The 14,250-nt window shown below is 51.2% G+C and overlaps 3 annotated features.

The window, feature by feature from the left end:
• Window positions 1,743-1,917: a silencer, noted in NCBI's record as "fragment chr9:133835976-133836150 (GRCh37/hg19 assembly coordinates)". NCBI's record gives its function as "represses an EF-1alpha promoter that drives an FKBP-Casp9 reporter gene in an ReSE screen in phorbol 12-myristate 13-acetate-treated (for megakaryocytic differentiation) K562 erythroleukemia cells {active_cell/tissue: K562(+PMA)}" and the evidence as "EXISTENCE:reporter gene assay evidence [ECO:0000049][PMID:32094911]".
• Window positions 3,630-4,217: an enhancer, noted in NCBI's record as "NANOG-H3K4me1 hESC enhancer chr9:133837863-133838450 (GRCh37/hg19 assembly coordinates)". NCBI's record gives its function as "activates a minimal SCP1, AML or CMV promoter by ChIP-STARR-seq in primed H9 embryonic stem cells {active_cell/tissue: H9 hESC(primed)}" and the evidence as "EXISTENCE:reporter gene assay evidence [ECO:0000049][PMID:30033119]".
• Window positions 4,218-4,804: an enhancer, noted in NCBI's record as "NANOG-H3K4me1 hESC enhancer chr9:133838451-133839037 (GRCh37/hg19 assembly coordinates)". NCBI's record gives its function as "activates a minimal SCP1, AML or CMV promoter by ChIP-STARR-seq in primed H9 embryonic stem cells {active_cell/tissue: H9 hESC(primed)}" and the evidence as "EXISTENCE:reporter gene assay evidence [ECO:0000049][PMID:30033119]".

Here is a 14,250-nt window from a genome sequence, read left to right on the forward strand (position 1 = left end):
CATCACCACCTCCAACACCACCACCACCACCACCACCATCACCACCATCACCACCACTGTCACCACCACCACCACCACCATCACTGCCATCACCATCACTTCCACCACTTCCATCACTGTCACCACCTCGACCATCATCACCACCACCATCACCATTATACCATCACTACCACCATCACTATCACCACCACTCCTCACATCAGCACTGTGACTACCATCCCAGCACTACCAGCGTGACCACCATCACCTTCACTAGCACACCTCCCACTACTTTTACTCAAGGGCCCTCCTTCCCCCTCTTGCACCCTGACCCCATTCTCCCCTAGACCCTCAGGGACTCCTCGGGGCCTGGGCTGAATCTGAATGGGGCCTTGAGCCATGCAAGGAGTGGAAACTCCCCACCTGCCCACAGGGCCCAGTGTCTGTCAGTTTCTTGATGACCAGGTTCCAAAGCCATCTAGCTCGGGCCCACCCTTTGGGGCCTGCTCACAAAGCACCTGCCTAATTTAGTCCCAGATTTGCCTCTGGTACCCCCTACCTATCACTCTGCCAGCCCCCCTGCATCCCGATATCCCCATAAATTATTGATGTCAGAAGTGCAAGGCTTATAAGGAGCTGGACGGGATAAACTGGTCAGCTCCAGCCCCAAAGGTGCCCATGGGTCTCAGGCAAGCAGGGGCCACCTGGGAGGACCCAAGGGAGAGGGGGTGGGACTGGGCACTGTTGGATATGGTTTGGCCAGGAACCCAGGAATCCTGCCCTAGAGCCTGGACACCCCATCCTTTGAGGTCCCAGAGGGAGATTGGTTCTAGGGATGATGATGGTGAATGGAAGGTGAAGTAGAATTTGACTCTGTCCAACTCTGGAAGTTTTCATGTAGAGTTTCATCTAGCCTGGAACAACTCAGGTCTAAACTGCCCAGACCAAGATGGCGTGTGAGGGAGCTCGTCCGACCCCCTAGGTGCCCACCAGGAAAAAGAAGTCAGTTCTCACCAGAGGCCCCAAGAGAACCAGGACAATGTAGGGTCGGCTTTGCCCTCCTACCTGAGGCCGGTATCTGGACAACCCACCCAGGTTTTCATGGGAGGAGGGGGGGCTCTCAAACCTGGAGAAGGAAGACTGGGAGAGCTGTGGTCATCTGCTCCGGCAGGTCCATGCACAGTGACCGCCCTCCATCAAGGCAGCCCCATCCAGAACCTGGGATCAGTTCACACCTGCTGAGCAGCTTCCTTCGTGCCCCTGATGAGGACAGTGGAGGTGAGGGTCTTTCAACTCCTCCCTCCAGAAGCCAGCAACTGGGACCTTGCCCTGGAACTTTCTTTCAGCTCACATGATTGCTGGGAAGGACTCATGCCGAGCTGAGGAGCAGGTGGCTGAGGCCAGGATGGGCTCTGCCGCCCGCATGTATGGGTGCCGTCAGACCTGTCCTATTGCCTGTCCCCCCAGACACTGAATGGGAATCTCCTACCCCTAGAATCATTAAATCACCAAGGTTCAGCACCAGAGAATCTTGAATCGTGAAATCACAACCCCCCGCAAGATGTTTGGGAGAATGTTTTTGTCAAAAAAGAGAGATAACAAATGGCAAACGAAGTAGAAAATGTTTCCCAAACGTGAGGACGGCTGATTTCTTTGTGCCGCCTTGGATGATGGGTGCGGGGTGCCTGGTAGGGGTGGAAACTGAAGGGGGTTGGAGAGACATTGCAAAGCTGCCAGGACACCTGCTTCTTCTCGAGCAAGAACCCAGAGACATGACTAGCTACTCCAGATGTCACCAACCCCCTCCGCCTTCTCATACTAACTTCCATCCCTGCTGATAGGTCCCCACAAGCCTGGGGCTCGGCTGTGACCAAGAAGAGCACCCTTAGCCCCCACACCCAGCCCAGCTACACTTTCCCCATCTGTGAAATGAGGTGTCTGGATTCGACTGTGGTTGGAATACTCTGTTCAAATGTGACTTCATACAGAACCACCCCCGTCCCAAGGGTTGGGAGGTGGTTATTGAAGGGCCCAGGGCACCCTGCTGGCCTCCCATTCCCCCTCCAGCAGCCCCTGCCTTCAGCCCCCGCAGAACCTGAGACTGCAGAACACATCTTCAAATCCCTGACCCAGATGGATGCTCTGTGGATTAACATCCCAAACTTCTGCACATCGGGGAGGCCTCCCTTCTCACACAACAGATTGACATTGGCCCATTCCAACTGGGCCCAGGCTCCTGGCCAGCCTCGCCGGCGATTCTGACTGGGCCCAGGACAGCTGAGCCAGGGTCCCCAGACATCAAGGGGGGTGGGGGGATGCAACTAGAGTAAGGGGATGTGTCTCTTGAAGGAAGGGGCTCTTCCGAGGATGGACCCTGGGACACTTGGGGCTCCATAGTGCTGCTTTGGGGTCCAGGGACCAGGCCTTGACCCAATGCAGGTCCTCAATCAAGGGCAATTGGACAAATGGCACCAAGTGGGGGTGGCCAATCTCATGCGTCCCTGCTGACGCTGGTGGTGCAGGGAGTCCTGAGGCAGAAGGGGGCCGGCATCCCTGGGCACTGGGAGTGTCAGTGGGGCTTATATCTGGGTTGGGACAGGGGTGAGTGGGAGGGATTTGGTCTCGTTTCAGAGAGAACCAGGAACCCACTGACAGATTTTAAATGGGAGCCCCACGTGATCAGATGGTACTTGGAAGTTCACTCTGATCCTGAAGGGAAATGGATCGAGGGGTTGGCTGGGGCTGCACAGAGGCCAGGAGAGGTGATGTGGCTTGGACCAGGGTTGGGAGGAGGATGACAAAGTCAGCAGGGCCTAAGGGCTAGAAACATGTTTAGGAGAGACAGGCTTCAAGGAGAGCCCCTCGGCGAGTGTCTGGTCCGGGCCTTTTGACAATGGGATGCTATTCACCTCAGCAGGGAAGCTTGGGTGAGGACCAGGCGTTTGGGGTAGATCTGAAGCTCCATATTGGATGTATTGAGCTGTGGGGGAGCCCTGGAACACCCCATGGGGGAAGTTGAGGAGGAAGTAAGACACCCAGAAGTGAAATACAGTATGGCTGGGCTACAGGCAAAGGCTGGGCTGCAGGGACAGGTTGTGCTGCAGGTACAAGCTATGGGGACAAGTTGTGCAGCAGGTACAGGCTACAGGGACAGGCTGTGCTGCAAGTAGAGGCTACAGGTACAGGGTGTGCTGTAGGGACAGGTTGTGCTGTAGGGACAGGTTGTGCTGTAGGGTCAGATTGTGTTGTAGGGACAGCCTACAGGGATGCACTGTGCATAGTCTATACATCACAGGTAACTGAGGATGAATGGGTCAGTGCTGAGACCAGGACAAGGCATGGGGCTGAGTCTTGGGGACCTGCCACTTGAGAATTCTAGGTCACCGCCATCCTTCACCAGGCCAAGATGAAGCATGAGAGGAAAAGCTTCCTCTGCTTCACGGCCTGTGAAGACATCAATAAGGACTGGCGGGCTCCTTATGAGAAACACTTGGAGACCCCAGAAATATCAGGGGTGAGCTGAGAGTAGGCTGTGGTCCCAAGGTCATGTCAATGGGGGTGGGGGAGCAGTGAAACAACGGCCATGCAGTTCCTGTTGCTGTGTCAGAGCTCACAGCCAGCAGGCCTGGACCTCTGGACTCAGGTGTGTCCACGGCAGCCCTTCCAAGATGCCCTGATTCAAAGAATGCGGGATCTCCGAGTCTCAGGCAGTTATTTTGGAGTCAATGACAGGGACCCATCTTATCCCATCTCTGTGCACCCCCACTCCCAGGATGTCCCCATCTGACCTTCCACTCCAGCTGTGGCTCCTGACATAGGTTGGGGAACAGAGGGACTGAGGGAGGAGGGGGCAGGCCTCCCATTCTGTCCAACAGAGGCTTCCTGGAATGGGGCAGGCAGACTGAGTCACATCCCTGTGACTCACGTGGCCCGTCAGACATTCTCATAATATTAATAATGAAAGGGCAGCTCCCTCGGAGACCGCAGGCCCACACTTGGCTCTGGCAAGAGCTTGGAATGCCAAGTTTTCCTAGGGACGCCACCAGACAGATGAGGGAGCACCGGCTGCAGTGGGCAGGGCAGCTTTCGCGGCAGCATGCCCCCGCCCCGGGGGGCTGTCTGGGATGTCTTTAAGGATGCTTTGTTAAGCCCCATTAAATATGCATCAGCCCCCATTAAACTTTAATGTCCCACTTATAGGTGTCACATTTTTCACCTCCTCCTGGGATGGGAGCCACGGAGAACTGACGTCTGGCACTTGGGGACCCAGGCAGGGGCTGGGCTGTGAGCAGCCTGGCAGTGCGTCCCTCGGCCAGCACCCAGGCCTAGGGCAAGGGCCGTGGGAGATTGTGCCCCTGCGGCGTGCGGTGTCTCATGCCCCAAACCTCACCACTCCCCTCCCCAAGGCTGGAGAGCTCCACCATGATAGTCGGAAAACTGTCAAGAACCAGACAGTAAATGTTTTAGACTCTGCATATGCATCTTTGATTTCCTTTTTACAACCCTTTAAAAATGCGAACACCATTCTTAGCTCACTCTATTAAAGAAAAAAAAATGATTCAATGGCACTTGTTAGGAGACATGGTTAGGAAAACTTTATTCAGAATCATCAAGGACCATGGCAAGGGAGCCTGAGGCTTGGGGGATTGGGCTCAACTCCAAACACAGCCTGGACAAGTGGAGATTAATAGCCGAGGAGCAGGGTGCGGGGCGGGGGGGCGGGGGGTCAGCGAGTGAAAAATCCCCACGAGGAAACATTAGAGGAAAGGAGGATTCTGCCTAAACCAGCCCAGCAGGATTCTTGCTGATGGGCCAGGGGATCAGATCACCTCGGGGATGGTGGAGGATGAGGAGCCTGATCGGATATCCAGTTTAGGGGTTCTGACCACACTGATTTAGCAGGGTTCTTTGCTAAAACTGGATTTTACAAGGAAGTGCACAGATGGGCCTAGGCCGGGCACGGTGGCTCACACCTGTAATCCCAGCACTTTGGGAAGTCGAAGCAGGCGGATCACCTGACGTCAGGAGTTCATAGACCAGCCTGACCAACATGGTGAAGCCCCGTCTCTACTAAAAATACAAAAAATAGCTGGGCATGGTGGTGAGCGCCTGTAATCCCAGCTACTCAGGAGGCTGAGGCAGGAGAATCGCTCAAGCCTAGGAGGTGGAGGTTGCAGTGAGCCGAGATCGCATCACTGCACTCCAGCCTGGGCAATGGAGCAAGACTCCATAACTCTTTCAGAGTTACCATTTGACCCAGCAATTCCGCTCCCAAGTATATGCCCAAGAGAATGAAACCTGACATTCACACATGGTCCAGTACACACACATCTCATTTTATTGTGTGATTTTTACAAGTTGAAGGTTTGTGGCAACTCTGTGTCAAGCATGTCTATCGGTGCCATTTTTCCAACAGCGTGTGCTCACTTCATGTCTCTATGTCGCATTTTGGTAATTCTTGCAACATTTCAACCTTTTTAAAGTTTTTATTTATTTTTTATTTTATTTTATTTTATTACAGACCATCTTGTTTTGTTACCAATGATGGAGTGTGGTCATGCAGTCATAGCTCATTGTAGCCTTGAGTTCCTCGGATCGTGGAATCCTCCCTTCTCAACCCTTTGAGTAGCCAGGAAGACAGGTATGCACCACCATGACCTGTTCATTTTTTTATCTTTATTTTTGTAGAGATTGGGGTGGGGTCCCACTATGTTTCCCAGGCTGGTCTTGAACTCCTGACCCTGAGTGATCTTCCTGCCTCAGCCTTCCAAAGTGCTGGGGTTACAGGTGTCACCTGGCCCATCAGACTTTTTCATTCTTATTATATCTGCTATGGCGACCTGTGATCAGTGGTCTTTGATGTTACTACTGTAACATCAGTAGTAACAATTACAGTAAACAATTGTTTAGTGGCACCACTAACTGCACCCGTATATGTCAGCATATTTAAATGATAAATGCTGTTTGTGTTGGTACTGCTCTACCGACCAGCCCTCCTGATCTTTCTCTCTCTCCTCGGGCCTCCCTATTCCCTAAGATACAATAATATTGAAAGTAGGCTAATTAACAACCCTATAATGGCCTCTAAGAGTTCAAATGACGGCCAGGCGCAGTGGCTCACGCCTGTAATCCCAGCACTTTGGGAGGCCGAGGTGGGCAGATCACCTGAGGTCGGGAGTTCAAGACCAGCCTGACCAACATGGAGAAACCCTGTCTCTACTAAAAATACAAAATTAGCCAGGCGTGGTGGTGCATCCCCGTAATCCCAGCTACTTGGGAGGCTGAGGCAGGAGAATCTCTTGAACCAGGGAGGCGGAGGTTGTGGTGAGCTGAGATCTTGCCATTGCACTCCAGCCTGGGCAACAAGAACAAAACTCTATCTCAAAAAAAAAAAAAAGAGTTCAAGTGAAAGGAAGGGTCCCAGGTCTCTCCCTTTACATCAAAAGCTAGGCTTGATTAAGCTTAATGAGGAAGGCGTGTCAAAAGTCAAGACAGGCCCGAAGCAAGGCCTCTTGTGCTAAACAGCCAAGCTGTGAATGCAAAGGAAAAATTCTTGAAGGAAATTGAAAGTGCTACTCCAGGGAACACACAAATGAAAAGAAAAGTGAAACAGCCTTATTGCTGATACGGAGAAAGTTTCAGTGGTCTGGATAGCAGATCAAATCAGCCATAACATCTTAAGCCAAAACCTAATCTAAAGCAAGACCCTAACTCTCTTCAATTCTGTGAAGGCCGAGACAGGTGAAGAAGCTGCAGAAGAAAAGTTGGAAGCTAGCACAGGTTGGGTGATGAGGTTTAAGGAAAGAAGCCCTCTCCATAATACAAAAATGCAAGGAGAAGCTGCAGCAAGTCGTTTAGAAGATCTAGCTAAGATCATTGATGAAGGTGGCTGCACTAAACGCTAGGTTTTCCATGTAAGTGAAACAGCCCTCTGTTGGAAGATGTCATCTAGGACTTTCATAGCTAGAGGGAAGTCAATGCCTGGCAAAGCTTCAAAGGACAGGCTGACCCTTGTTAGGGGATAATGTAGCTGGTGACTCTAAGTTGAAGCCAATGGTCATTGACCATTGCAAAAATCCTGGGGCCCTTAAGACTTATGCCAAGTCAACTCGGTCTGTGCTCTATAAATAGAAAACAAAGGCCGGGCACAGTGGCTCACGCCAGTAATCCCAGCACTTTGGGAGGCCGAGGAGGGTGGATCACAAGGTCAGGAGGGGATAGATACCATCCTGGCTGACACGGTGAAACCCCGTCTCTACTAAAAATACAAAAAAAAAATCAGCCGGGCGTGGTGGCGGGCGCCTGTAGTCCCAGCTACTCGGGAGGCTGAGGCAGGAGAATGGCGTGAACCCGGGAGGGGGAGCTTGTAGTGAGCCGAGATCGGGCCACTGCACTCCAGCCTGGTGACAGAGCGAGACTTTGTCTCAAAAATAATAATAATAAAATAATAAAATAATTTTAAAAAAGAAAAAGCCTGAATGATAGCAAATCTGTTTATAGCATAGCTTACTGAATATTCTAACCCCACTGTTGAGATCCAACACTCAGAAAAAAAGATTCCTTTTTAAAATCTTACTGCTCATTGACCATGCACCTGGTCACCCAAGAGCTCTGATGGAGATGTACAAGGAGGTTGATGTTGTTTTCATGCCTGCGAACCTGGCATCCATTCTGCAGCCCGTGGATCAACGGGTAATTTCTACTTTCGAGTCAGCTTATTTAAGAATATATTTCATAAGGCTACAGCTGCCACAGACAGTGATTCCTCTGATGGATCTGGTCAGAGTAAATTGAAAACCTGGGAAGATTCACCACTATAGACACCATTAAGAACATTCGTGATTCATGGGAGGACGCCAAAATATCAACATTCACAGGAGTTTGTAAGAAGTTGATTCCAACTCTCATGGAAGACTTTGAGAAGTTCAAGACTTCAGTGGAGCAGCCGGGTGCGATGGCTCACACCTGTAATCCCAGCACTTTCGGAGGCTGAGGCAGGTATATCACTTGAGGCCAGGAGTTCAAGACCAGCCTGGCCAACATGGTAAAACCCTGTCTCTACTCAAAATACAAAAAATTAGCCAGGGGTAGCAGCACATGCCTGTAATCCCACCTACTTGGGAGGCTGAGGCACGAGAACTGCTTGAACCTTCAGAGGCAGAGGTTGCAGTGAGCCAAGATGGCGCCACTGCACTCCAGCCTGAGCAACAGAGTGAGACTATCTCAAAAAAACAAAAAAACAAACAACAACAACAAAAACAAAGAAAAACCCAAAAACCAACCAAACAACAAACCTCCTCTGGGCGCGGTGGCTCACACCTGTAATCCCAGCACTTTGGGAGGCTGAGTCGAGCAGATCACCTGAGGGCGGGAGTTCGAGACCAGCCTGACTAACACGTAAAAACCCCGTCTCTACTAAAAATACAAAATTAGCCGGGCGTGGTGGTGCATGCCTGTAATCCCAACTACTCGGGAGGCTGAAGCAGGAGAATTGCTTGAACCTGGGAGGTGGGGGTTGTGGTGAGCCGAGACGGTGCCATTGCACTCCAGCCTGGGCAAAAAGAGTGAAACTCCATCTCAAAAACAAAACAAAACAAAAAACCCAAAGATTTCAGTGGAGGAAGTCACTGCACATGTAGCGGAAATAGCAAGAGAACTAGAATTAGATGTGGAGCCTGAAGATAGGGCTGAATTGCTTCAATCTCATGATCAAACTTGAATGTGAGGAGTTGCTTTTTATGGATGAGCAAAGACAGTTGTTTTTTGAGATGGAATCTAGGCCTGGTGAAGATGCTGTGAACATCGTTGAAATGACAACAAAGGATTTCGAATATTTCATAAATTTAGTTGATAAAGCAGCAGCGGGAAAAGGATCGACTCCAATTTTGAAAGACGTTCTACTGTGGATAAAATGCTATCAAACAGCATCATATGCTACAGAGAAGTCTTTTGTGAAAGGAAGCCTCAATCGATGCGGCAAACTTCACTGTTGTCTGATTTTAAGACATTGCCACAGCTACCCCAACCTTCAGTAACCACCACCCTGATCAGTCAGCAGTCACCAACATCAGGGCCAGACTTTCCACCGGAAAACCGATGGCGACTTGGTGAAAGTTCAGATGATCATTAGCACTTTTTAGCAATAAAATATTTTTAATTAGGGTATGTACATTTTTTAGACATAATGCTATTGCATACTTAGTAGATTACAGTGTCATGTAAGCTTGACTTTTTTTTTTTGTTTTTAGAGAGAGTCTTGCTCTGTCACACAGGCTGGAGTGTGGTGGTGCAATCTCAGCTCACTGCAACCTCCGCCTCCTGGGTTCAAGTGATTCTCCTGCCTCAGCTTCCTGAGTAGCTGGGATTACAGGCGTGCACCACCACGCCCAGCTAATTTTTGTATTTTTAGTAGAGACAGGGTTTCACCATGTTGGCCAGGCTTATCTCCAACTCCTGACCTCGTGATCCACCCATCTCGGCCTCCCAGAGTGCTGGAATTACAGGTGTGAGCCACTGCGCCTGGCCAAGCTTAACTTTTATATGCACTGAGAAACCAAAAATATTGTGTAACTCCCTTTATTGTGATATTTGCTTCATTGTAGTGGTCTGGAATGAAACCTGTAATATATCCAAGCTATGCCTGTATACGAATGATAATAGCTGCATTGTTCTCAATCACCAAAACATGGGAACAGCTCAGATGTCCATCAGTGGATGAACGAATAAAGAACATGTGGGTCTATCCATGCAATAGAATATTATTCAGCAATAAAAAGGAGTGAAGTATTGGCACCTACTACAACATGGAAGAACCTCAAAATCATGTTCAATGAAAGAAGCCAGACACAGGCCAGGCACGGTGGCTCACGCCTATAATCCCAGCACTTTGGGAGGCCGAGGCAGGCGAATCACGAGGTCAGGAGATCGAAACCATCCTGGCTAACACGGTGAAACCCCGTCTCTACTAAAAATACAAAAAATTAGCCGGGTGTGGTGGCGGGTGCCTGTAGTCCCAGCTACTCAGGAGGCTGAGGCAGGAGAATGGCGTGAACATGCGAGGTGGAGCTTGCCGTGAGCCGAGATCGCGCCACTGCACTCCAGCCTGGGGGACAGAGCGAGACTCCATCTCAAAACAAAACAAAAAAAAAGAGGTCAGAAGTTTGAGACCAGCCTGGCCAACATAATGAAACCCCATCTCTACTAAAAATACAAAAAATTAGCCAGGCATGGTAGCTAATGGTGGTGGCAGGTGCCTGTAATTCCAGCTACTCTGGAGGCTGAGGCAGGAGAATCGCTTGAACCTGGGAGGTGGAGGTTGCGGTGAGCCAAGATCGCACCGCTGCACTCCAGACTGGGCCACAAGAGTAAAACTCCATCTCAAAAAAAAAAAAAAAAAAAGAAGCCAGACACAAAAGGCCACATATGTATGGTCCCATTTCTATAAAATGTCAGGAATAGGCAAATCCACAGATGGAAAACAGATTAATAGTTTCCAGGGGCTGGAGGGAAAGGAGGGATGAAGCGTGACTGCTTAATTGGTTTGTGTTTGGGGTGATGAAAAAGTTCACACAGCACAACATGGTGAATGGTCTAAATGCTGCTGAACTGTGTACTTTAACATGATTAAAATGGGCCAGGCGCGGTGGCTCAGGCCTGTAATCCCAGCATTTTGGGAGGCTGAGGCGGGCGGACCACTTGAAGCCACAAGTTTGACACCAGCCTGGCCACATGGCAAAAACCTGTCTCTACTAAAAACACAAAAAAATTAGCCAGGCCTGGTGGCGCATTCCTGTAGCTCCAGCTACTCGGGAGACTGAGGCCTGAGAATCGTTTGAACCCGGGAGGCAGAGGTTGCAGTGAGCGGAGATTGTGCCACTGCACTCCAGCCTGGGTGACAGAGCAAGACTCCCTCTCAAAAAAATAAAATAGGCTGGGCGAGGTGGCTCACGCCTATAATCCCAGCACTTTCGGAGGCCGAGGTGGGTGGATCATCTGAGGCCAGGAGTTCAAGACCAGCCCGGCCAACATGGTGAAACCCCGTCTATACTAATAATACAAAAAAAAATTAGCTGGGCATGGTGGCACATGCCTGTAATCCCAGCTACTCAGGAGGCTGAGGCAGGAGAATCGCTTGAACCCAGAAGGCAGAGGTTGCAGTGAGCCAAGATCGTGACATTGCACTCCAGTCTGGGTGACAAGAGTGAAACTCTGTCTCAAAAAAAAGGCTCTTCCTCCTGGTGGGGAGGTGAGGATGGAAAGGGATCTCGTGCGTGCCTGGCCACAGTGAGCACCTAGTAACTGCTGCCTGGTGGTGGTGGGAAGAACCACCAGCCAGGTTACCGTCCAGACAGGGTCCGATCTGCCTGGGCATGGCGGGGTGGGGTGGGGCACCTCGAGGCTCCGGGCCCAGCCCTGGCCACTCGAGTTGAGGTGCCTCAGCTCAGGAAGCTCATGCATCGCAGAGGCTGTGCGTGGTTTTTGAGCTTGGAGAAGGAGGCGAGAGACCTGGCAATCTGTGCGTGGGAGAACTCAGGACAGGCCTGTGAAGAACTGTGGAGGGAACAAGAGACACCTACATTTTAACATGGTGTTCATTTTGTTTCTTTTTCTTTTTTATTTTTTTGAGACAGGCTCTTGCTCTGTTAGCCAGGCTGGAGTGCAGTGGCTCACTGTAGCCTCAGCCTCCCAGGCTCAAACAATTCTCCAACCTCAACCTGCTGAGTAACTGGGACTACAGGCATGCACTACCACGCTCAGCTAATTTTTCTATTTTTGTAGAGATAGGGTTTCTTCATGTTGCCCAGACTTGTCTTGAACTCCTGGCCTCAACTGATCCACCTGCTTTGGCCTCCCAAAGCATAATTCCCTCATGCTGGGATTACAGGCATGAACCATTGCGCTTAGCTAAAAATTTTTTATTAATAATCTACTATAGCCAGACTCCATACTGGAGACAAAGAGAATCAGAGTTCTGCCCTACAGAGAAACAGAGACACACACAGAGACAGAGACACACGGGGAGACACACACCACAGGGAGAAAGAGAGCCCGGGCCCTGCCTCCCGACTGCAGAAACAGAGACATGCAGAGACACACACTGAGACAGAGAGAGGTGGAGACACATGTTCCAAAAGGAAGGGCAAAGAGAGAGAGAGGAAGGAAGGAAGGGAGGAAGGGCAGGAAAGAGGAAGAAAGGAAGGAGGGAAGGAGGGAGGGAGGAAGAAAGGAGGAAGGGAGGGAGGAGGCAGGAGGGAGGAGGGAGGAAGGGAGGGAGGAGAGAGGAAGGAATGGAGAAGGGAAGAAGGGAGGAGGGAGGGAGTGAAAGCCTTTCTGCCACTAGTGATGGGCATTGTCCATTCTTAAGAAAGCACCTGCCTGCTTTTGACTTTAAGAGGCATAGACTTGGGTGATAGAAATGCGTGTTCAAAGCTGAAAAAGCTGAAAAGGCCTGCACCCAAATCCCATCTTTGTGAGGGGCCGTTATATGAGCCCAGCCTGTTTTCTCATCTGGAAGTGGGAATTCTCGGAGCTTAACTCACTGATGGTCATTGGGTCACAGGATGGACCTGGCGTACGGGAAGTTTCCGGAAAGGACAGCTGCAGCCTGTGTGCCCCTCATGCTCCTAAGGGGCAAGAGGACCAAGCCGAGACCCCAGTGAGCTAGGGGAGGGGCCGGCCCCACAGCAGCTTCTCCAGCTTCCTGAGGAGGCTCAGACCCTCGGGCCCTCCCAGGCCCCTCTGCCCCCGCCCCACTGGTTCACAAGCAGAGACTTCCCCTCCTCCCCTGGTTCACTGACTTTCTCATTGTCTGGGAGGCCCCAGTGTCTCCACCTCTCTCTGTCTCAGTGTGTGTCTCTGCATGTCTCTGTTTCTGTAGTCGGGAGGCAGGGCCCGGCCTCTCTTTCTCCCTGTGGTGTGTGTCTCCCTGTGTCTCTGTCTGTGTGTGTGTCTGTGTTTCTGTGTAGGGCAGGGCTCTGATTCTCTTTGTCTCCATGGTGTGTGTGTCTCTGTGTCTCTCCGTATGTCTCTGTGGTCTGTATCTCTCCATGTGTCTCTGTCTCTGTGGTCCGTGTCTGTCTGTCTGTGTGTCTCTCTCTCTATGGTCTGTGGTCTGTGTCTCTCTGTCTCTGTGGTCTGTATCTCTCCATGTCTCCCTGTCTCTGTGGTCTGTATCTGTCCATGTGTCTCTGTCTCTGTGGTCTGTGTCTCTCTGTGTGTCTCTGTCTCTGTGGTCTGTGTCTCTTTATGTGTCTCTCTCTGTGGTCTGTGTCTGTCCGTGTGTCTCTGTCTCTGTGGTCTGTGTCTCTCTGTGTGTCTCTGTCTCTGTGGTCTTTATGTGTCTCTCTCTGTGGTCTGTGTCTCTCCATGTGTCTCTGTCTCTGTGGTCTGTGTCTCTCTGTGTGTCTCTGTTGTGAAGCTCTGTATTTATCTGTCTCTGTGTCTGCTTCTGTTTCTCTCCTTCCCTCTTTCTCTGTGTGTCTGCCTGTGTCTCTCTGCGCCCTCTGTCTCTGTGCTGTGACTCTGTGTCTCTGTCCCCTCTGTCTCTGTGCTGTGACTCTGTGTCTCTGTCCCCTCTGTCTCTGTGCTGTGTCTCTGTGTCTTTCTGCTCCCACTGTCTCTGTGTCTCTCTGCCCCCTCTGTCTCTGTGTCTCTGTCCCCTCTGTCTCTGTGCTGTGTCTCTGTGTCTCTCTGCCCCCTCTGTCTCTGTGCTCTGTCTGTGTCTCTGTCCCTCTGTCTCTGTGTCTCTCTGCTCCCTCTGTCTCTGTGCTCTGTCTCTGTCCCTCTGTCTCTGTGTCTCTGTCCCTCTGTCTCTGTGTCTCTGTCCCTCTGTCTGTCTCTGCTGTTATCTCTGTATTGCTCCAGGTCTCTCTGATCTCTCCCTCTCTCCTTCCCTTCAGTGGAATCGATCTCCGAGCTTATTAAGCCCCATTCTTTCTCAGAACATTTGCCTTTGAAATCTCAGCAGATGGGCTGGGGCCTTGGCTGGTACCTCAGGCTGCCCCAGCCACACAGCCCACTGAGGGCCCAACCAGAGGAGGCTACCCAGTTATGCCCACTTCCCATTCGTGAGATGCCAGCCCTGCCTTCTCTGACGTCTCTGCCAGCCTCTGGGACAGCGACCAGCAGTAAGTGGGTCCTGCCTTTGCAGTAGGAGGAGATGGTGTGAGGGAACAGTCACCAAGGGTCACTGAGCCCACCCCCAGCAGCCAGGGCCCTGTGTGCTATTTGCCCAGGCCTAAACTCCCTTGTGGCTGTGCTGTGTGGAAGGGA

Source organism: Homo sapiens, chromosome 9 (genome assembly GCF_000001405.40).
Source record: "Homo sapiens chromosome 9, GRCh38.p14 Primary Assembly".
NCBI lineage: Eukaryota > Metazoa > Chordata > Mammalia > Primates > Hominidae > Homo > Homo sapiens.